Raw genomic sequence first — 23011 nt, forward strand, 5'->3', positions numbered from 1 at the left:
AAAGCTCAGTGCCCACCTCCTCAGGGCACAGAGCTCCTCTCCCACCTGCAGTGAAGCGCTGACAGGCTCTGCCTGCCCACCTCTCGGCACAGAGCCAGACGCCTGCCATTTCCCAACGGGCCACCCACGTCCACATCCACAGAGAACTCCTCTGTGTCTCTGCTACCTCCACTCAGCCCGGAGCTCCGTCACTACGTTCCCTGTGTCTAGGCTGTGTCCCTAAGACCCTGTGGCATCACAGGAGGAACCCCACATAGCCTAGCAGTCTCACGGGCAGAGATCCGTGTTTGTGGAAGCATTTGCTTCTGCAAGGAACATGACAGATGAGCTGCCCATCTCTATGAGGAGTCAGGGGCTCTGCTGCCCTGTGTTTTATTAGGCCACAAAAAGTGCTCTCGTCTTCCTTCCCAGCCTGCATTCTCAACAAGAGATCCACAGGTAGGTTTGAAGAAGACGGACTTTGTGCTCTTTTGGATTTGTTACCCACTCGGGCAAAAGGCTACACAGGAGGCAGACAACAATGAAAAAGGATCTAGATTGAGGGCTCTGACCTTTGGTGGGACGGGGGCCGCTCTCTTCCCCGAACTCTGAACAGACCCAGCAGGCAGGCAGAGTGGACTGTGGTGGAAGGTGAGAGGAGGAGGGAGTCTCAAAGCTGATGATACTGATGTGCTTTTCCATGCAGGACATCTCTGGTGAGGCTTCCACTTGCTGGAAGCTTTTGAGGAACCCAAAATGGGTGCATCTGGAGGGCTGCTTGGCCAGCAGGCCCAGCTCCATTTAGAACATCTCCCTCCATGAGAGCTGGATGCCTTCGGTTCCAGAGGCTGCCTAATTAACCTTCCAGGGATGCGGTGGATCAGGGCAGATGGCACCCTGAAGGTGTGCAAAATATCAGGCTAGACTAGGGTGGCTGGGGGTCCTTACTAGATGCTTAGGGAGAACGGCATCTGCCCAGGGGTCACCTGTTAGGTGGCTTTGACAGATTCTATCATCCCTTCCTCCAACATTTGCAGGGGAGGAGAAAAGAGAGGCCCATGACAGAGGTGTGACCTCTCCAAGACCACAGAAAACTAGTTGGCATCTGAACCACATCTCCTAACTCTACCCCAGGGCTCTCCTCAAAACATCACATTCCCATTTGCATCTCTTTTAGATGAAGAAATAGGGTTTGGAAGGAACTGGGTTCGAATCCTGGCTCTGCCCCTGACTGCATTTCCATTTTCTTGACAGTGGAATGGGGCCGTGAGAGTAACAATAACAGGGAGCGTGGCCTCTACCTACATAAGCTCATCTAATCCCGGACTCCTCGCAGTAAGGGATCAATTGCCCCATTTTATTGCCAAGGAACTGAGGCTTGGAAAGATAAAGGCACTCCAGGATTGCATAGCTATTACGTGGTGGAGCCAGGCCTCGATGTCTGATTCTAGAGTCTAACAGGGTCCTGGGTAGCCCATCATTCTACAAGACTGCGAGCAGCACCTCCGTGTCATCTGTCAGGGCAGAAAGCAAAGGGCAAAGTGGAATGAACCCAAGGCTGAAGGACTTGGGAGAGCACCGAGATGCCGGGTGCTGACCTCCTATGTGGCCAGCCAGCCCCATGCTGGGGTCTGGAGGCACATCAGACTTGTCCTGACCCTGAGGAGCTGCCAGGCTAAGGACAAAAACGATTACACAGAGAGAAATAAGCTTAAGTGTTGGCTTAACCTGCCAGGGGCTCCAAGAGAGGGTGATGCCTACCTCCCTCTCACTCCCAGACAGGTAAACTGAGGCCCAGTGTGGCCACAGCATGTAGGCCTGGTACCCCCATGAGCCAACCGGAACTGGGATGAGAACTGGGGTCCACTGACGGGTCAGAGCTCTTTCCACTGCACTGCACTGCCTCTGCAGGGTGATGGCAGCAGGACCAAGCCCTGGGGTAGACCTCAACATGGGGGAAAATCCCCACTCCTGAATCTGGGAAAAGGAGGCAGGAAACACGCCCACTTCCTGTCCAGCCTTCCAGCTGCCCTGGACCCTGTTAATGGACTCGCTATTCCATCTCAGCTGGCCCCAAGATCTCTGAGTGGAGACAACTAACTCCCGCAGTTTCTTGTTATTCTTTCTCCTGTAATTTCAGCACTGGGTAGTGTTCCATCCAGCAGCTCCTGAGAGCCACTTAGGCAGGGCCCAGGAGGCTCTGTTATGGGTGTGATCGAGGCAAACACTGGGCCACTTCACGAAAACTCCGAAGTGTGGACACTGATGGTTAGTGAAAAAGCCTTTACCCACACTGACAGCGTGGGGAGCAGAGCATTCCCACTGTAAAACGGATTCAAGGACTCTGCGGAAAAGCATTTCAGAAGCATCAGCAGGACCCCCAGCCCTCCCGCACGCTCCGGCTAAGTCCCTGCACTTCATCTGAAGCCGTCCTGGAGAGGCGGGTTGTGGTGTGACAGGAAGCGCCCACATTATGCGGGCCTGGGATCCAATCCCAGCTCCTCCGGTTCATTCGGAGTCCAGTTTCCCAACGGCTCTGAGCCTCACTGCCCTCATAAAGGAAATGAGGACTATTCCACAAACACTGCAGGGCTGTGGCACAGCTGGCAGTGTGAGGCACACGGGGTCCCCAGTCCTGGTCCCCATCCTCCTGCTCCTGTGGCCACTCGCCTGCCCTTTACAAGGAAAGCAGGAGCTTGACGTCTGGCCTCATCTCACCAGGTCTGCTGAAGGCCACATATCCTTTTTCATGAAGGCTTTCCTGCTCCAGCCCTTCAAGTGCTCTCTAAACACAGAACCTTTCCTTACTCCATGTCTGGGGGTGCCATGTGGACCCCTCCAGGCCAGGCCACTCACCCCCACAGGTACCTTGGGGCAGGGCCCAAACAGAGCAGCAGGGCTGAGGCAGCAGGCGACCACACTGCCATGGGCAAGGGGCAAGACCCAGCAAGCCCCGGGGCAGGCACATCTAACACCTTGGGGCTCATAGGAACCAGGAAGAAAAGTTAGTACCAAAAGGGTGACCAAGTTGGTCTTCTGAGCTAAAGATTCTTGGAGCTGGATGGAAGATAGCTCCTTAAAACCAAAACCAAAACCAAAACAAAAACAAAAACAAAAGCAAAACGAACAGGCTGGGCACATGGCTTACACCTGTAATCCAGCATTTTGGGAGGCCGAGGCAGGAGGATTGCTTGAGCCCAGGAGTTTGAGACCAGCCTGGGCAGTATGGCAAAACTCCGTCTCTACAAAAAAATACAAAAGCTAGCCAGGTGTGGTGGTGTGCGCCTGTGGCCCCAGTTACTCAGGAGACAGAGGTGGGAGGATCCCTTGAGCCAGGGAGGTGGAGGCTGCAGTCAGCTGTGATCATGCCACTGCACTCTAGCCTGGGTGACGGTGAGACCTGCCTAAAAAAACGAAACAAAACAAAACCAAACCAAGAACAAAATAAACCTACACCGATTTTTTAAAGGAGAAAATAAGCTATGTGTTAAGTATTCCCCAAACTCACTGCTTCTTCCCCAAATGCCACCCATATTCCTCAAATCTGCCTACACCTGTCTAGAAGTCATGGGCTTGCTGAGAAATAAAGCTGAGACTCAAGTCCTGGCTCTGTGGGTTCAGAGGCATGCCTGGGAGGCGAAGTGTGAGGACAGGCTGTGACCTGTGCTGAAGGCACTGGTCCCAAAACCCAAAAAGCACTAGGGCTGGAGTCCTGGCCTTGTCGCCCTGGGTCTTGGCAGAGCATCCCTCAAGCGAGGTGGGGAGTATAGGCTATGATTCTCTCACGGGTCACGAAAGCTGTGAGAGTTCTCTGTAAACTGCTGACAGCTACCCAGACAGACGCCATTACCACCCAGCCAAATCCGCCTTTTGTCTTCACAGAAGGCTGCTGAGGAAAGGGGACTTGAGGTTTTAGGTTGTTAAGAGATAAAACACTCCACACATCCTCGTCCCTCCTGACTCCTAGGACACCGGCCACTGCTCTGGAGAGGCTGAAGGAGTGGGTTTTCTCGACCAGCAGTGGGACGCAGAGGACCTGCGGTACTGGCGGCCTGTGTAATCTGCCTGTTAGGTGTGTTGCTTTAATTGAGTGAATACAAAATTACAATAATTATACACAGCAAAAGGCACTTGATAGACAATCCAATTTGCTCCTTGGTCCCAAATACCGACAGAAAATGGCGTAAGCTCAGTCTGGGGAGAAGGTCAAGGTGTGCTCAGGTGCCATGGACATCCGGAATCTGTCACCATGGTCTGCCTCACCCACAGCCCCCAAGGAAAGGGAAGCTGACCAGATGGGGGGAGGAAGGGAAAGCAAGTCAATTTTACATGCAGTCTTTGGCGGAAACGTTATTTCTTCATTTCAACCCATGGGAATGAACTTGGCATGGCTTGGAGAGGGGTTGTGTGAAGGGTGTGGGTGTGTGTGTGTTATGTAGGGTGTGTATGTGTGTGTGTGTTTACAGGCCAGAGCTGGGGCTGAGACACCAACTTGAGGGCAGAAGGTGACTAAGTTGCCCGCCTGCACACCCAGCATGGGCCTGGCACATGCACGGTAGGTGGGTCCTCAGGGGGCTGAGCTGGGCCACACAGCAGTGGAATAACTGCCCGGGCTTCTGCGTGGTCCCCGAGAGCTCACAGTCAGGTGGGGCTCCTGGCTACCCAGCAGAAGAGCCCATGACAATCAATGGCCCTTTGTGGGGAGAGGACAAGGAGAGGGCTGGGTTTAGAGGTCTGGCAATGGTGTGGACCATCTTCCTGGGACGGTGGGGAAGTTACCAGTTAGAGAAAGCAGGAATGTACTGCATCTCCCCTTCATACTCATCTCTGCATAAATACCAGGGATCCTTACAGCCACCAAGGTCCACTCCTTGCAAAGGTGAGCAAATGGTTCATTGATTTCCGTGTGAGCAAAGGCCCCAGCCGACCTCCCTTCCTCCTAGCAGTCTCTCCAAGGAGCCAGGGCAGCACTGGGCAGACAGCAAGGGTTCAGGGTTTGCACCATTAGGAATCTGGCTTCCCTGGACAGCCCTGCTGAGGCGTGAACAGGGGGCGCTCAGTGAAGGCTCTGCTCACCAGGCATGAAACTCACTTGCCTCCTGGCGGAACAGAATCAGCAAGTGATGGTTTCCCAAACAAAGGGAGGAAACATGGCAAACGAAAAGTATAGGCAGCGTCCAAAACCTAACGCATAGCTCCTCCACACACTGCTTGCCAGCGCCTCTTTCTCCAGCGCCTGGACTGCGACTGCCATGATACAGATGGGAAGACTGAGCCTCAGAGATGTGATCTCATTGGTTCCAGGTCCAACCTGCTTCAAAGTCTAGGCTGGGTCCCTCGCACCAAGCTGCATACCAGGGCAAAGGCTGGTCTTGGCTGCAGCACAAGGACCCCAAGAGCACAGCCACCAGGCTGAGCTACAGTCAAGTCAGGGTCAAACTAGCCTGCCACCTGTTTTTATAAATTAAGTTTAATTAGAACACAATGTAAATAAAGTTTTATTGGAACACAGTGCAAATAAAGTTTTGTTGGAACAGAGCCACACTCACTCATGTTCTGTCCACGGCTGCTTACAAAGACCTGATGGCCCACAAAGTCTAAGATTATTTCCTAGCTGTCCCTTCACAGAAAAAGTCTGCAGACCCCTGAGTTAGATGATGGTCCTCAAGACTGAAGAGGGAAAAAAGTGGAGTCTTCTGTAATTCTCAAGGAAAAACAAAACAGTGCTACACTTTGATTTTAACCTCACATTTCTCTTGTAAGACAAATGAAGCAAAAGTTGACCCCATTTTACAAAGGGGGAAAACTGAAGTATAGTGACATTAAGGCATTAATTATCAGAGCCAAGATGTTATGCCCCTGAGGACAAACAGAATGAGCACTGGCCAGGCATCAGCACACCTGAATTTGGCTGTCACACCAACACCCTCCATGCTCACTAATCAATGAGCCCTGGTCTCTTGGCCACTGCTCCCGAATACAGTGATAGTGCATCATCGGAACACAAAACCCAGCGCTCACGTCCAGCTGGCTGGTCACAACCCTCCTTGCTGATGGTGTCCCCAGTTTCATTCTTGCCACAATGCTGGGGAAGAAGCCCTTCCCCTTGTTTGCCAGCACAAATATTCTGGGAGCTTGAATCCCAGCCTTGAGTTCTTTTGGCAGGTTCAAACCGTTTGGACCCTTTCCTGTGGTGTGAATTCACAAAGAATTAGATCCTCTGGGGTCATCTCAGCCAGGAAAAGGCTCCACCTCGAATGGCTGTGGTTGGGAAGGGCCAGGATATGAGACGTGACTTTGCCTCCAGCCACTAAATGCTTAAGGAGGGCTTTCCTGCTGGAGATTCTCCGTGTATTCCACATGTATCCATACAACAGGGCACTCTTTTCAAGAACACAGCCCAATATCCATAACATATGTGCAGAGCCCACCTCTATCTGGCAGTCACTCTAACTGGGCACTAGGTCCCAGTACCCTGAGCTAAGTGCCGGAGACACGTGAACAAGCAGTATTCTGCCCTTCCCTAAAGAGCTCCAGACTGGCCAGTGAGACCAGGGTGCAACACTTTAATAGAGGCAGAGATACCAGTGCACTGGGGAGTGAGGGAGCAGTGACCACAGAACAGTCACATTTAGGCAGGACTTGCAGAATGAACAGGTGTCTCCTGGCAGAGAAGAAAAGGAAGGGGATTCTGGACCGTGAGGATGGCATTTATGCAGCCCAAAGGCAGGCCTGGGTGTGGTTCTAGAGGACTTCATGCACAAGATGGTGGGGATGGGACCACCAGGCCAAGGGGAAGGATACTAACATTTGGGGGCTTGACCAAGGAAATGGCAATACGATCTGTATCGTGGGAATCACATATCTATTCTGTTCCTTTCCAAAGATGTTTCTATACCCTCTCTCAAGTTGGAGACTAATTATTAGATTCCCATCTGTGAGTGGCTCCTTCCATCCTACCTGCTGCCCCGCTAAGTCACATCCCAGCCCTGCACAGCCAGCTCTCTTTATTAAAAAAAAATTAAAGACAGGGTCTTGCTATGTTGTCCAGGCTGGCCTCAAACTCCTGAGCTCAAGCAATCCTCCCACCTCAGCCTCCCAAGCGGGTGGGACTACAGGCATGGGCCACCATGCCCATCTCCCAGCCTTCTTTAATGCTGGCACAGAAGCTAGGAATCCTGTGCCCCACGGGGAGAGTCCAGACAGCACCCCTCTCTCTCCCTGACCTCTACTGGTGCAGGAGAGACAAGCCTGGAGAGGAAGAGATGGGCCCGGGATCCAGACCCACTCCAGTCCTCTGGAACATGGGGTGAACGTGGCCTTGCCAAACTGATCCTCTCCCCCCAGAACAGATTTCCTTCAGCTCTGAAAATGGATAGTGCTGCAAAGACACATCCCACTTCTGCCCGCCGGCCTCCGCCACCGCTCGCCAGCGCTCAGGCTCCACTGTTAATCATGACAACACAGCGAAGGTGATGTGCATATTAAGAAGGCACTGCCTCATCCACCCAGAGAATTCCTGCTCCACTTTTAAGCTCTCCAGACACACGGGTGCACACAGCCTTCCTGCCCTGCCCCTTCACCCCCGACAGTTATAAAAAGTAATGATTCGTCATATCCAACTAGGAAGGGGGGCTGCAAAGCCTTGGAAACCACAAATCCAGAATGCCCCTAATTCAACCCCAATTGCCCACTGAGCAGAAGAGGGCTAAGAACGGAACAGCAAAGTCTGCCAAGTTTTTCCCTTTCAGTCTTGCAGCCCCCTGGAAAACTCGGTAGTTTTTCATGCCTTTTCCTCCCTGAGGAGCTTGGGGAATGGCCCAAGACCTCTTCCTCCTTCCTCTGTTAAGATGAAGCAACAGGATGGAGCAGGGGAAGAACCAGGACTCTGGGAGACACAGATGTGGGAGGTCGGGCCCACAGTCACACGGGCAGGTGCAACAATACCTGGCAAACTTGACGGAAAATGAGAAGCAGCTCTGTGGTGCTGCTGGAAAAGCCCCAGATTCATGGGGCTTGGAGCTCGGCCTATAGCTCCCTCTGAAACTGACTTATCTCCCTTGTAAAATGTGGTCACCCTACCTGCCTCACAGAGAACTGTCTAACTATCAGGAGTCAAGTACTTAGTTCAGCCCTTACCAAGGGTAGCTCTTAATACACCAAGCTGTGGCTCGGAATCTGCCCCGCCTCGTGGAATCCTTCAGGAACCTCCTTTCTTTGGCTCAGCCCTCCTTATTACCTCACACAGCCTTCCTTATTAGCCCACGGAGCTACCCCTCTTGCCTACAACACGTAAGCTGTCCTAATCTGAGCTGCTCTTGGGGTTGGAAGCATGCCCCTCAACAAGAGAAACTCCACCCAATGCTGGGTGCTCTTCAGCAAACTCCACCAGAGTCATCTGGCCCTAGAAGTAGTCCCCCATTTCTTTTGCCCCCAAAGCCCTTGACGGCCCAGAAGACAGGGGCCAGGTCTCTTCTGCTCACCACTGGACTCTTATATCCACGCTCTCTAACACTGCTGCATTTACAGGTGGGGACACTATGGTCCAGGAAGGGAAAGCTGCTTCCCAAAACAGACCGAAGTTCCTAAGCTCTTGGACCTTTTCTACAGCTCCAGAGTAAGTTCCTTGGGATTGGCTATTACAATTAATCTAGCGAATCGGAACTTAGCTAGATACGCATGTTGGACATAACTTTTTTGACCTTGGGCCAAGGAAAGGGCAAGACTTTGTCAAAGTATTCTTGAATAAAAGTGACCTGAGAGGGAAGAAGCTTCAAGAAGGGGAGAGGAGAAGGCTGCAGCCTATAGAACAATCCCCAGCAGACTGATGGAGGGGCAGAGGCCAGGTCTGAGAGCCAGCAGCTCTGGTGCTTGCCCTGTGGAACAACAGCTGGTCCAACAGTGGGGTGAGGGTAGCAGGGCTAGACCACAAAGAGCTCTGACTTCATTCTTCTAATGAAGGGGCACCACTGGTAGGAAGAGCACCTGACAGAGGAGAATGAGCCACATGCTCACCTTTGGTTAGCCTAGCCTAGGTCTGCCCTGTGGACGATGATTGTGTGGGGGCCAGAGGCTGCCCTACCTCCCAACCCTGGGAGCACAGCGGGGCTGGGCAGAAAGCCGTGGCTTATGAATGTATGCTGAAGGAAGGAATGACCAGATGTCAGCCTCTGGGAAGGAGCACTTGTCGGATTTCCCATCTGCCATTCATTCTGACCACACACCTTATGCTGGTACAAGTGTTCATCTCCCAGATGAACCAGGGAGAGCTGCTTCTGCTTTACAGGTGGGGAACGCAAACTCAAATGATACTCAGGTGAAATTCACCAGTGACAGAATGCAGGCGCACAGGTGAAGACCCAGCTCCCCAGGTCAGAGCTGGTCTCCATCAGACTCATGGTAGCAAGCCCGGGAGGAAAAGAATCAGAGGGTCCCAGACACACAACACCTGCCTCCCAGCCTCGACCTCCCCCGGCAGCTCCTGTGCGGTGGAGCAGGGCACTAGGAGTCAAGGTGGCAGGGGCTAAGGGAGGTAAATCAGGTGGACAAGATGAAGGGAAGTAACGTGTTAAAGGGCCAAACAGGGCCTGGTGCTTAGGTGTGTCAAATATGTTGGTCAAACTGAAGGGTTAAACACTAAAAAGCTAGCGGATCTCAAAAATACCCAGAACCTCTTCCACACATCAATGTCACTAAGGCTGTGCCATGCCCCTAAGACTCCCTCCTGGAAAGAGGAGAAACCCTGAGGCAGCTCTTGTTCTTGGGTAAACTGAAAGACCTGGGCCTCTAGAACAGTACAGTCCCAGACACGCCTACAACAACTCTAAAGTCTCGAGAGCCAACCCAGCACAGACACCAGGTGGGGCTTCATACACATCATCTCACGGCATTCTCGCAGCCGACCTAAGATGTCAAGGCCTATCATCGCCCCCAATTATCAGATGAAGCAACTGAGGTTCAGAGAGGTGAACTGACTTTCTCGAGGAAACCCATGTGCCCACCCAGGCTGTGTGACACCAGAGGCCACCAGGAAGCATGGATCACCTTCACAGAAGGTGAAGGAGGGATGGGACCCAGCACCTCCCTGTCCAAGACAGAAGGGACAGATGAGCTGACTGGCACGCTGGGAGCTCCAGGCTTAGCTGCTGGTCAACACGGATCCTGAAGCCCAGTCATCTTTCCACAGCAGTAATAATAAACCATTACTGACATGAATGTAGATTTCTGAGTTTCTTCTGAGACAGGGTCTTGCTCTGTTGCCCAGGCTGGAGTGCAGTGGTGTGATCGAGGCTCACTGCAGTATCAATCTCCAGGGCTCAAGCCATCCTCCCACCTCAGCCTCCAGAGCAGCTGGGACTACAAGCCTATGCAACAAAGTCTCGCTAATTTTTTAATTTTTCTTTTGTAGAGACAGGGTCTATGTTGCCCAGGCTGGTTTCAAACTGGCTGCAAGCGATCCTCCTGCCTCGGCCTCTCAAAGTGCTGGGATTTGCAGGTATGAGCCACCACGTGTGGCCTGAATATAGGTTTATATGTATAGTCAATCCTCACCACAGCTCCAAAAAGGACACGGTAGGATTTGCTGCGCGACTGTTCCTACAGCACAGCTGAGGAAACAGTGCCTGAAGAGGCTGGGTCACTGCCAGGATCACACTGCCAGCCAAGTGCAGGGCCATCGTGCTCCAAAGACCCTGTTCACAGCCACTCTGCGGCCTCCCTGACGGCCGAGCTGGGTGCCCTCCCAACCCCATGCCTGTGCTGCATACAGACCTGGCACTTCATGAAGGGTGTGCCCCTCTACCCCACCATGTCCCCAGTCTCTTTCCCACCATTTGGTCTTGAGCAAGAAACAAGAGACGGGGCTTTTCTTTCTTTTCTTTTTCTTTTTCTTTTTTTGAGATAGAGTCTTGCTTTGTCCTCTAGGCTGGCATGCAATGGTGTGATTTCAGCTCACTGCAACCTCTGCCTCCTGGGTTCAAGCGATTCTCTTGCCTCAGCCTCCCGAATAGATGGGATTCCAGTCGCATGCCACCATGCCTGGCTAATTTTTCTATTTTCAATACAGACGAGGTTTCACCATGTTGGTCAGGCTGGTCTCGAACTCCCGACCTCAGGTGATCTGCCCACCTTGACCTCCAAAGTGCTGGGATTATAGGCGTGAGCCACCATGCCTAGCCTGAGATGGGGCTTTTCTGAGAGAAAAGTTTACAGGATCACAGGTGGGCCTGGCCTAGGAGCTTCATGGATTCTAAGGCCCTCTTTGGGAGAGGAAGTGTTTCAGGGAGAGGTTGCCTGGGAGTTAACTTAGGCAGAAACAGGACATGAACCTGACCCCATACTGTGGTTCCCTGCACTTAGAACAGTGCCTCACACTGAGCTAGATGCTGGAATGGCCTCTGACCCCCAGGGCAGTGCCTGGGCCCAGAGCCCAGCCCAGACTCCCCTGAAGGGGAGGTTCCTCCCACTGTGGCATGAGCTTACTCAGGGGGTCTATCCTGATCCATGTCATGCCGAGGCGTGTTATTACAGGATTCTGCTGGAATTCTCTTCCTCAAACCTCTTCTGCTACAAGGGCTAAGGAATTTGACCTTTTTTTTAAAAAAAAAAAAAGGGAGAAAAACCTCAGTACAATTTGCTGAGAAGGTAGGTGGGGACAGGAGCAAGAGAGTCCACCCCTCAGTCAGCTATGAAGAGACAAAACAAAAATACTCTCCAGCCCCGCAGGGGTCTCCACTCCCATCCCCCTATGAAGGACAGAAGGACCTCGTGGGGGCAGAGGGAGCAGCCACGGTACAGTGCTGGGAGAACTGCCGACCTGCGGCAGAGCAGCTTCCAGGCACAGGGAAAAATCACTCCATTCTAAGAAAACGCAAAGTAAAAACTCAGGTCCAAAGGAGAAAGGATAAACCAGCCCAAGCTCTTAATAAGCATGAGGTGAACGCAGCTACTGACACCCATCCTTCCAGTATCAGATCCACAGAAGCCAGAGATTCGGGAGTCAGTTTACACCCCCAGTGAGGGCTTCGCCAGGAGCAGCAGCAAGAACAGAGCCCAGGCCTCCCAAGTCCAAGAGGCCAGAGACTCCTTCCCCCTTCCCTCCCTCAAAAGGTTGAAGAGAGGAGTGAGAGTCCCATCCTGCACTTGGGAGGCCAGGAGGACGTGGTGTGTAGCCCAGCTGGGCTCTGTAGCATGGGGCTGGCTCTGCGTTAGGGGGCAGTCAAGGCCCAAGCAGCTGTTGGGTGCTTTGTTACCGAGCAAATCTCCCAGGCGCTGCCTGCTGATGCATAGCTAACTGGGCGGCAGACATTGATTTATGTTCAACTTTCCATTTCATCAGTGAGAGTTACGGCGCTACATGTGGAGTTCACGTTTTTCAGAGGGGGAGGGAGAGGCGGCTCAAGTGTGCAGACACAAACATATCCACATGCGTGCACACAGGCATGCGTGCACACAGGCACGCACACAAGTCAGGGCCACAACTTTTTTTCCTATTTAAGAGGGAGGGCGACTGAGCTGAGCCAGCCGCCGCCGAGGCAGCCTGGCACGTCAGGAGTAACCTTTTGTCCACTGTTGCTAGGAGCCCCAGTGCCGGTCATCTGCCGCTGGGCAGACGTCAGGCACCAGGCTGGCTGCCGGGCAGGGAAGGGAGCACAGCCTGACCTTTGCAGGGGAGGTGTTGGCAAGCAAAAAAAGGCTTTCTTCCCTCTCCTCTGCCCCAGGCCTCTTTTCACTGGCCAGGAGATTGTGGAGGGCAGGACCAGCCCGGACCCATGTGCTTCCAAGTGGCCAGCACCCCCCACTGGACAGAGGAGCAAGCTAAGGCCAAGAGAGAGAAGGCTGGCTCCCCGAGGACACACAGGAATTTGGCAGCAGGGCTGGTATCCCAGAGTGTCCCACTCCCAGGATAGGGGGCTTCATCACAGTAACTAGAGGAGGGGCTGCCGCTCCCAGAGCCAAGTCAGTTTGGAACAGGTGGGGCCTAGGGGTGGGGAAGAGCAGTGGTTCCCCACCTCCAACTGTGGCCTGGAGCCCAGCAGTTGGGGCGCCCCACCTCCTCTCTAATCCTTCTCAGCAGGGGTGACCCTGCCTTCTGTCAGTCTGGAGGCGGACAGCAGGGCGGAGGAGCTGGAGGGGGTGGTGCTTCTGTCCCCTGGAGGAGTGAACACATCCACCCCTGACACAGCACCTCTGTCCTCTTCCCCAGTAGGAGGCTGCATCTATCAGACAGACTCCCCCCACCTGCAGGGAAGCAGAGAGGGCCAGGCGAGACCCAGAATGGGGAGGGGGTTTTATTTCCCCACAGACAGGCAGTTATCAAGAAGCTGCGGATCCCACCGCCCCACCCAGGCCTGTCTTCCTGAGCAACTGGCCAATTTGAGCCTCAGTTTCTCATCTATACAGTGGGAATGCTATTGGTTCTTAGGACTATCTCATAGAATCAAATGAAATCACAGCAGGGAACAGCTTTTCTGACTTGGAGAGTGCTTCCACCAGCAACTATTAACATAAGAGGGTGTCAGACAGTTCTACTCTCAGGCCTGAGAGCACTGGCTGGGGTGGGTGGGGAGGGCTAGGCTGGGCAGCCCCAGGTAAGGCGTCTGCTAAGACAGCAGGCACCAGCCTTGGCTTCTCACCGTCACACCTGCCTCCTGCCCCCAACCTATGTGGGCAGTAAGCTGGGCCTCCTTTAGGCTCCAACATCCACTAGAGGCCACCAGTCACAGGCAGGAAAGCTGCCCTCAGTCTCACCCAGCCGCCACTCCTGCTCGGGCCATGGCCACCTCCAGAGGGGACCGCAGCTGGACTCCACACTGGCCAGCCGGCCAAGGGCCCAGCCCCTCCAGGCCATGGAACCTCTTCCTGGGATCGCGTTGCTCCCCTTATTAGGAACCTTTCATGGCTCTCCCCAACTTTAAGTCCTTCCTGTGTCTATTCCTGGCTCCATCCCCACACCCCAGCCTGCAGTCCAGGCCCCTGCCACCCCAAACTTGCCCCATCACATCCTGGCACAGGCTCCCTCTCGCCTGGCACACTCCCCCACCTCAATTCACTGCCAATTGCCTCCTCCTCCTCAGCCCAAATGTCACCCCCTCGGAGAGGCTTCCCCAGACAAGCCATACTGGCTGTGCCCTGTGCCTGGCCCCAACGGTATTCTTCCTGTCAACCTCTCCAGCGTGGCACTCAGTCACTGCCTGCCCCCTCCACCAGACTATGAGCCCCTTGAGGGCAGGGTCCGTGGCTGCCTCTTGGGTGGCTGACAGGTCCCTGCCCTTACACACCACGTCTGACCGAGGGGCTAAGGGACGACCAAGCAAGCCCGTCCGGGTCTCACATGACGGGGACTCAGCTCCTTCCCTTGCCCTGCCTTCACTTCACCATCTGTCAGATGGGTGGGGACCCCAGCGCCCCGCCACCAAGCTTCCACTAGTAACAGGCTTCGGAAACCAAAAGCAAACAAGGTGGTTTAATTCTTCCCAAGTCTCCCCTTGTCACAAACTTGTCCTCGTCAGCAAAGAGAGGCCTTTCCTGCTGCAGCAGCTTTCTGGCAGGAGGAATGTCCGCTCCCTCTGCTGGCTCCTGCTTCCCGCTGGAGAGCAGGGCAGGAAATGGACAGCATTTGGCTCAGCTTTTGGGAACTGCCCCAGTTGCTGCCAGGGGTATGTTCTCATTTACTGGGCTTTGACCCTCCCTGTGAACACATCACCCACCCCACAGCTCACAGTGCCCAAGGCTCTCCACTGGGCATCCTGCCACTGCTTAGTTACCACCACTGTCAAACAGCTCACCACTTCATCATTAATTTGGCAGATGACAGAAATGTCTTCCATACAATGATTCAAATTGGCTTCCCTTTTCTCTCAAGGACTTGGAATGTGGGGCTGAGAGCTCACAGGGGCATGTCTGAGTACATGGCAGGTTCTCCGTAACAGAACTTCAGATACTTCAAGACAGCCATCAGAGCCCTCAGGAGGCTGCCCTTCTCCCAGAGAAACCCCAGCTACTTCTGCAGGAGATGGGGAAAGATTTTGGGTCATGCAAGTTTCTCTCCCCTCTTATTGTCTGGGTCATATCTCCGGCTTTTGGGCTACACACATTGTTTGCTCTTTCTCGTTCTCTCCCCATAACCAATGGGAAGAGTTCTCTAGGGACCTCAACATCTTTCTAAGGCTGGTGGGCCTGGCTGGCAGGAATGAGGACTCAACGGAAAGGGGATGTGTCAAATACTCCCTACTATCCTTCACCAAGGTGGAAAGTCCCTGCTATCCTTCACCAAGATGGCAAGTATCTAGATGTTCAAAGCAGGATGAGCTAAGCTTTTGGCAACAGGAGCTGGGACCCCTCCTCCAGGACTTTTCCAGAGAAGGCAGTCTTTAACCCTGTGACCTCTGCTGGGTCTCTGTCACGCAGCATCCATCATCAAGATGGTCAGCTACTTCCTGGCCGGGCGTGGTGGCTCAGGCCTGTAATCCCAGCCTGAGGAGGCTGAGGTGGGCGGATCACTTGAGGTCAGGAATTCGAGACCGGCCTGGCCAGCATGGTGAAACCCCATCTCTACTAAAAATACAAAAATTAGCCGGGCATGGTGGTGAGCGCCTGTAATCCCAGCTACTCAGGAGGCTTTGGCAGGAGAATCACTTGAACCCGGGAGGCGGAGGTTGCAGTGAGCCGAGATCGCCACTGCCCTCCAGCCTGGGTGACAGAGTGAGACTCTGTCTCAAAAAAAAAAAAAAAAAAAAAAAAAGGTGTCAGCTACTTTCTGAGCATTGGCCACAGTGCTCAAGTCCCCGTCTCCACGAAGCCACTGGAACAACTGCAGAGTAACTGTTGTGGAACACAGATCTGGCCAAGACATTATCCAGCCCAGAGTGCTGCCCTGGCTTCCCACTGCCCACTGGATCAAGCCCATACTCAACAAGGTCCTTCAACAATTGCCCGGCAACCTCTCCAGCCTCATCTCCCGCTGAGCACCTGTCAACCACCTCATTCTAGACACCATCTCAGCCAGGGCTGCACTGCCTCCAGGAATGCCCTCCTGATTTCTCAGCTTGGCAGACAGGCCTCTCCTGTGTCCTGCCACAGGGGATGGGTTACCTGTCAGTCTCTCTGCTAGGCTGGCTGCTCCTGTGGGCAGACTATGGTTGATTCAGTTCGAGCCTGGAACCAAGCCCCATGCCTTGCATATCAGAGACGGTCAATGACAGTCATAACCACAGTCCTTTCTCCTTCTGTGACTTCATCTCCCCATCTATAAATGAGAAGCTTGGACTACATCAGGGATGGCAAAGAGGATATGTACCACCACCGACACATTCACGTTCATGGTAGACATTGCCAGTCACTATCTGTTGAGCCTGGACACACAGCTTCAGAATCATTCTCACGGTGTTCTCAGCAGCCACCACACATCAAGCAGAGCTGGCATTTGAATGGGGACTTCTTTGCTACTTCTTTAGATAAGAGTTATGGTTTCTCTATCTCCTTTCGGTCTCTCCCTCCTTTTATCTAATTCTCTACTCTCCCTGCTTCCGCCATCCAATCAGATGTGCATCCACATTTGGACTTTGGAGTGTTTGTGGAAGAGCACCCCATGAGGAACCAGGAAAGCTGGGTTTAGACTCTGATTACAGCCCCTGGTTAACTTGGGGCAAGTCATTCACCTTTCTGAGTCTCACTTTCCCAATCTGCATGCCTTCTCTGCAGAAACACTGTGATGAAAATGAAAGTAAGTTGCATGTTTAAAAACACTATGTAACTGAAAACAACTATTGGAATTTAAAAACAAAACAAGAAGAAAAACAGCCTGTACCCAATGCTCAGTTCTCTATGACCCCTGCCCTCTTGTGAGTCCCGTTTTGGACTTAGAAATCCTTACTGGACAGTGCCCTCCTTAGGACCACCTTAGGGCCAAGGAACTTAGAAATTCTTACTGGACAGTGTCCCCCTTAAGGGGGAACTAGGGAACCCACCCAGATCAGTGAGGCTGGCCAAAGCCAAGCTGGGTTTGCCAGATGTGCAGCCCAACCGAGCTAAGCTGCGTGGAAAAAAAAAATGCCACTGCTTGATTATGTAAAATCCATCTGGATCCAAAGCAGAAAATCAAAGTTGGAAGGGCCCTCAGAGACCACCTGGTCCAGCCTGCTCCATCTACTGGTGAGAAAACTAGGGTCCAGAGATGGGGAGCAACTTGCCCAAGGTCACTCAGCAAGTATGCGGCCAAGTCCTCTCTGTCCTTCCCTGCTGCAAAACACCAGAACACCACTCCTGAACTCCCAAGCTGGCTTCCTGTTAGGCCCTCCCTGATCAGAATGTTGGATCTAGTGCTTTGGGGCTGCCTGGGCTCCTGTTCTGTAATGTGAGCAATACAAATAAACTCAGTTCAAACATTTACTAGGTCCTTAGTATATGCCAGGTGCTGGGGATGCCAATATTAGGGCTTTTTTTTTTTTTAAAGGTGAGGTGTGGTCAGGTCAGTTTCCAAGCCATCTCCCTGCCAGCCCTTAACTTGCTACCAGAGACATCTCATGCCACGGGACCAGACAGGTACTGCCCGCCTTGGAAACCTGGACGTGGAAGAAGAGAAAGCTGATGGCCAACCCTCATTGTGGGTGGCCAAAACTTCTGACCCCAGGAGCTGAAGCCTGGCAGTCAGAGGCCTGCAGAAGCAAGGCCCTGTGTTGCTTACCGAGGGGCTGGGATGGAGGTGGGCAGCTGCTCTCTCCCACCCAACCCTGGAGGCCTGGGGCTTCTACATTTAGGACCAGGCTAGGGGTGAAGTCCTGACCTGAAAACTGGGCTGGCCACCCTAGGCCAGGGTCTGGCCATAGCTGGCTCAGCCATCCCAAGCCGACTCCCTGGTGCAAAGCCTTTCTGCAGCAGAGCTTCCTACCCAGGCCTTGGCCAAGCAGGGGAAGGAGTGCAATTGTTGGTAACAGATAAAATCCTCGATACCATCTCTATTTCCCTTCTAATATCAGAGTGGCCGGCTGCAATACTAGTGAAGGGCAGGGCCAGCAATCAATAGCTAATATTCCTGTTGTAAGCAGGCCTACTCCGGAAATGGGCAGCCAGTACCTCCTTCCAGAGAGATACCCTTTCCCCTTGGCAGTGTCCCAGCCTGAGCGGTTCAGCATCATGGCCAGGAAGGATCAGGCCAGGTACCTGGCCTAGCCCATCCCCCTGCATCTGACTGATGGGGAAATGATGCCGGGAAGTGAGAGAAAGGAATCACCCAACGTCACCCAGGAAGCAGAGAGGCCAAGACATTGCTCTCTGCTGTCTACTGGATGACCACGTCAGCTCTTGATGGCTCGCCGTGCCTGGGAAAACAGAGGTGACCTCAAGTCAAGAAGGTCCAAAAGTTACCTCTGTTTGATGGTGGCTAGTAATGGCTAAATAAGGACAGGAATCAGTCTTGGCTTTCTGACCACACACCCCAAACGTCACAGGGGAGGGCCCAAGAAGTATGTCTGGAATTAGGCCTTAGCCATGGACGATTATACCAAAGCAGGAAGTTGGGAGCTGCCCACAGATCAGGCAGACCTGAGCCTTGTCCTAGACCCAGGCCAAAATAGAAGCCAATGGCCTATTTTTAAAACATACAACTAGGTATTGTCTACCTCTTTCTACCACAGTGGTCTAATCTGCACCGGACACCCAGATGCCGGCAAGCAGCCTCAATCAGGAGGCACACAGATGAAGCATGGTACCTCGGTGGGTCCACCAGACACGGAAGCCACATCTGCACTGTCTCAAGAACATCCATGGCATGTGAGCCTAGAAAGAATTCCCAACTGGACAGAACGCCAGTGGGAAAGGCCCGCTGATGGGTGCAGGGCGCCATCTGCAGCAGCCAGGAAGATGCCTGCCTTGGTGAGGATGAACCTCTCACACGCTGGCCTCTTGGATTTCCTCCCTGGGAGAAGGACAGCAGCCCCTCTGGCTACTGCCTTTCTTGGGTCCATGAGTTTCCAGTATTTTAAGGTCTAACTCTCAACCCATCTTTAATATGTCTGCAGCCTTGCCCCAAGCTGAGACCCTAGCAATGCCTGGTCCAGTCCAACCTGGAGCTCACACACCTATTTCTGGGGCTACACTCATCTCCACCCCTTGGACAAGGCTCCAGTTTTGGCAGTGTTCTGGGAATGCATACAGATCCACATGTGGCCATCCAATGCCCCGGATGGCCATCCTGCATCCCTCTCTCTCCTCCCACCACCATCATGTGACCTACCACTTCTGTTTTTGGGGAACACCTGAATTTCACTGCCGTCCTTCTTAGCTGGTGAGCAGCATGTCCCAGCCCTCTTCTCTCAGGAGTTAACACCAACCGAAATACAAAATCTTGCCAACTAGAATCATCTTCCAGATCATCTCTCACCTAGAGGGAAACCCCTTTAACATCCCTAGGAGACGTTTGTCAGGTCTTTGCTTAGACATCTCTAGGGCCAGAGAGCCCCCTGCCTTGATGTGGTGTGAGCACAGGTGCTAAATTCTGGCCTATACCAAGCAAAAGTGTCCTTGGACTTTGCCTCACTGGTCCTAGTTCTGAATTCTAGGGCTGTACAGAGGAAATTTCTGCCTCCTTTTCCACACAACAGCTCTTTCCATGTTCTTATCTGGGAGTGCCAATCTTTCAAAAGGTGTGGAGAACTCGGGCGGATTCTCAAACTCAGCTGCCGACAGGCTTGAAAGAACGAGAGATGTTATGATCGAGAGTGTCATCATAAAAGTTCCTTACAGCCCTGCACGCTGTACCTCTCTAAGATGGCATTCCCCAGTCTCAAGTTGGCTTAAATCACATGAACCGCCGAGGAGAAGGTAGAGACAGAGGAGGCGGCGCAGAGAGGGTGGCAGCCGCGCCCAACCTGGCAAAACAGAAAGCCCAATTTCACACACCCCAGAAAAAGCCAAACAAGGTGTCTCTTGGAGAAGGCCAGACTCTCGACCCACGTGGGATCTGTTCCTGCCTGTGGCGGGCAGAGCACGGGCACAGATGCTTGTGGGATGCTGTCTGTGATCACACTCGGAAAAAATCAAGTGGTTAACCAGAGGGAAAGGATTCTGAGACCTGCCAGGATGGTGGGTTTTTGTGTTTTTTTAAGATTACGCCTAAGGTTTGTCATTTGGACAAGTAAAGTAAACAATGACAAAAGCAGCAGCAACAAAACAGAAACAAAGAACAATTTACTGATTTTTTTTAAAGCCTTTTGTTAAAAGAAAGCTCCACAGTGGCCTGGAAGTAGCCCCCACCACCTCCCTGGCCAGGGGCAGACTGTGTCGCGCCTACGAAGCTGGCATGAAGAAAGCAAACTCCAGCAGAAGTGCAGGCAATGCAGGAGGTTTCTGCTTTCCCATCTTTTTCTCCCTCTCAGCTTTTAGAAGGACTGTTGAAAGGGATGGGAAGGGAAGGATTTGAACCAGCATAAAGCAACTGTATTTAGACCATGGCAAACTGAGCTACTTACTTCTCTCCCGCCCTCCCACCTGCCCAGGGCCTCGGCCTGGAATACAAGGTGGAGCACAAGACCCACGGGCCCCGCACGTACCTGAAAGAAACCTGGCGGGATGGGGCCTCCCGGCATCCCATCGTTGGGGGGAATGTTGCCAAGCACGGGGCTCGGGGCAGCTGCTGCACTCTGTGGAGACAACAAGGCAGAGAGTTAGTGGCCAAACCCACAACCAGAGACACAGAGTTCTGACCCCTGGACTTGGCTCTCCCTGTCCGTCCACATTCCCCGTGGACCTTCCTCACAGGCCACTTTCTACTTAAAGCCCTCCTAGCGTCCCAGGGAAGTGTCATGTTCCCACTGACAGGACACAAGTAGGGCTTATACACTCAGACCTGGACTCAATTCCCAGGTCCGGCCCCCACTGAGCAAGCAACGAATTCCGAGGCTCTTTTTCCTCATCTCTAAAATGGGAGGGCCGGATGTGGTGGCTCACAACTAAAATCCCAGCACTTTGGGAGGTTGAGGCTGGAGAATCGCTTGAGCCCAGGAGTTCGAGACCGGCGCGGGCAACATAGGGAGACCCCGTCCCTACAAAAAATAAAAAATTAGCTGGGTGCAGTGGCATACGCCTGTAGTTCCACTTACTCGGGAGGTTGAGGTCAGAGGATCGCTTGAGCCCAAAAGGTTCAGCCCTATCTCAAATAATAATAATAATAATAATAATAATAATAAAAAAATGGGGGGACAATGTCCACCATTCAGGGAGGTTGCAAGGACAGCCTGAGACAAAGTGCCAAAGGTACTTCCTGCGGTGCAGAGCAGGGGTGCATGGCCAATGTGCTGCTCCTGGCATTATATGGCCCTGGGCCGTGTCTGCCCAGCTACTCTGAGAAGCTCTTGGCAGGCCAGTGATTTATAAATTTCTGTGCCCTCTGCAAGTGGCTGGCATGTCATATAGAGCAAAAGATCAATAAATATCCATGACTCAACGAATAAATGAACAGACCAACTGGGAAACACTGCTGGAGAGGGTGACGGAGGGCAGAGCGTGTTCTTGGCCCTGCAGGGTCCTAGGTGTCTCATGAGAGAGAGGGGCCTCGCGAAGTGGGGGGACCGTCATTCCTTTTCTCTTTAAACACTGCTGTTCTGGCATTTGCCTGGTATATCTGCCTCAACAAATGCCTCCCAGGGGTGAGCAGACATTGCTCTCCCCAGCCTGGCCTCCTTCCAAAGGATCTGTGTGCAACCTATTCAGGTGGTCGGCGCGTCTGTGCCTGGCCCCGTGCTCACACAGGCGGGGCGGGGCGAGGCTGAGACATCTGGGCCCCAGCCCTGAGGAAGCCACAGGTCTGACAGTCCTACCTGGAACCGGGCCCTGCTCCTTCCCACTGATTCTAGGCCTTCAGGGGCTCCTTCTACAGGAAGCCCACCTCCAACCTTGGTGGTCCCCAAACCCCACCATGACTGAGAAAGTGAAACTTGGTCATCAATCATCTCCCAGGGTTCTGATTCTCTGAAAGAGGAATGAGCCCCTTGGGGTCAGGAAACAGAACGCCTTTTTTCCTCTTAGAAACACAGCCTCCCATCACCACCTTCAAGAAGTCACTCTCTTTCCTTTCATTGGCAGTAAAATAGGAACCAGAGGCTGGGCGTGGTGGCTCACTCCTGTAACCCCGACACTTTGGGAGGCCAAGGTGGGCGGATCACCTGAGGTCAGGAGTTTGAGACCAGCCTGGCCAAAATGGCAAAACCCCATCTCAACTAAAAATACAAAAATTAGCTGGATGTGGTGGTGGGCGCCTGCAATCCCAGCTACTCGGGAGGCTGAGGCAGGAGAATTCACTTGAACTCAGGAGGCAGAGGTTGCAGTGAGCCAAGATTGCACCACTGCACTCCAGCCTGGATGACAAAAGCAAAACTCCCCATCTCATAAAAAAAAAAAAAAAAAAAGGAACCAGAATCTCTAACTTCCAACTTTGATGAAAGGAAATGAGGTAATGTGCAAATCTCACTAATATACTGCATGCAACAAAATAAACGAACAGACCTGGGAACAAATGCACCTGGTTTTCAGCACTGTCACCTCTACTACTAAGTGGGATGACTGTGGGCAAGCCACTCGGACTTTCTGAATTTGCTTCCTGTAAAAAATGAGATAGCTGTTGTCCCACGTCCTCACCAGGGTTGTGGGGGATAAAGTGACAGAATGGGCTGTGTTTTGTAAGCTGGGACAGCTCTGTGAATCTAGCAACAAAGAAATACAGGGAATACAGTGGGTGTTGAGCAGACCCCAGATGAAGAGAATGGGCAAGCCGCACGTTACTTTTCAAAATGATTCTGCCTACAGAAAAACAGCCCTCTCTGCAAGAGCTATCCTGCTAACCATCCTGTAATGTGTACAAGTTTCAAGCATCTCCAAAAATTAGGATTGTAGATCTCCCCATCCCCCAGGTCTGAGGTCACAGGCCCCTGCCTTGCCCCTGCCCGGCACTATCTGAGATGGGGCCTCGTGAGGGAATCGCCAGCTTATCCATTAGCTGCATTACTGCTGGCTGCATTACTGTTTTTCTGTGGTCAGTGGT

At 52.9% G+C, this 23011-nt stretch overlaps 1 protein-coding gene across 17 annotated transcripts in view, besides 4 other annotated features; it reads right to left on the bottom strand.

The window, feature by feature from the left end:
• The window catches only part of SSBP3 (single stranded DNA binding protein 3), a 188059-nt gene that overhangs the window by 35481 nt on the left and 129567 nt on the right, over positions 1–23011 (bottom strand). For all 17 annotated transcript variants that reach the window (NM_001394365.1, NM_001394366.1, NM_001394364.1 and 14 more), the window contains one exon: positions 20526–20615. In NM_001394365.1, the coding sequence (NP_001381294.1) occupies positions 20526–20561 (36 nt within the window). In that variant the 5' untranslated portion in view covers positions 20562–20615. The remainder of the gene's footprint in view (positions 1–20525; positions 20616–23011) is intronic.
• Positions 2174–3166: an enhancer, noted in NCBI's record as "H3K27ac-H3K4me1 hESC enhancer chr1:54728759-54729751 (GRCh37/hg19 assembly coordinates)". NCBI's record gives its function as "activates a minimal SCP1, AML or CMV promoter by ChIP-STARR-seq in primed H9 embryonic stem cells {active_cell/tissue: H9 hESC(primed)}" and the evidence as "EXISTENCE:reporter gene assay evidence [ECO:0000049][PMID:30033119]".
• Positions 11872–12440: an enhancer, noted in NCBI's record as "H3K27ac-H3K4me1 hESC enhancer chr1:54738457-54739025 (GRCh37/hg19 assembly coordinates)". NCBI's record gives its function as "activates a minimal SCP1, AML or CMV promoter by ChIP-STARR-seq in naive H9 embryonic stem cells {active_cell/tissue: H9 hESC(naive)}" and the evidence as "EXISTENCE:reporter gene assay evidence [ECO:0000049][PMID:30033119]".
• Positions 14151–14719: an enhancer, noted in NCBI's record as "H3K27ac-H3K4me1 hESC enhancer chr1:54740736-54741304 (GRCh37/hg19 assembly coordinates)". NCBI's record gives its function as "activates a minimal SCP1, AML or CMV promoter by ChIP-STARR-seq in naive H9 embryonic stem cells {active_cell/tissue: H9 hESC(naive)}" and the evidence as "EXISTENCE:reporter gene assay evidence [ECO:0000049][PMID:30033119]".
• Positions 20266–21073: an enhancer, noted in NCBI's record as "H3K27ac-H3K4me1 hESC enhancer chr1:54746851-54747658 (GRCh37/hg19 assembly coordinates)". NCBI's record gives its function as "activates a minimal SCP1, AML or CMV promoter by ChIP-STARR-seq in primed H9 embryonic stem cells {active_cell/tissue: H9 hESC(primed)}" and the evidence as "EXISTENCE:reporter gene assay evidence [ECO:0000049][PMID:30033119]".

The sequence above is a fragment of the Homo sapiens genome, chromosome 1, assembly GCF_000001405.40.
Source record: "Homo sapiens chromosome 1, GRCh38.p14 Primary Assembly".
In the NCBI taxonomy this organism is placed as follows: domain Eukaryota; kingdom Metazoa; phylum Chordata; class Mammalia; order Primates; family Hominidae; genus Homo; species Homo sapiens.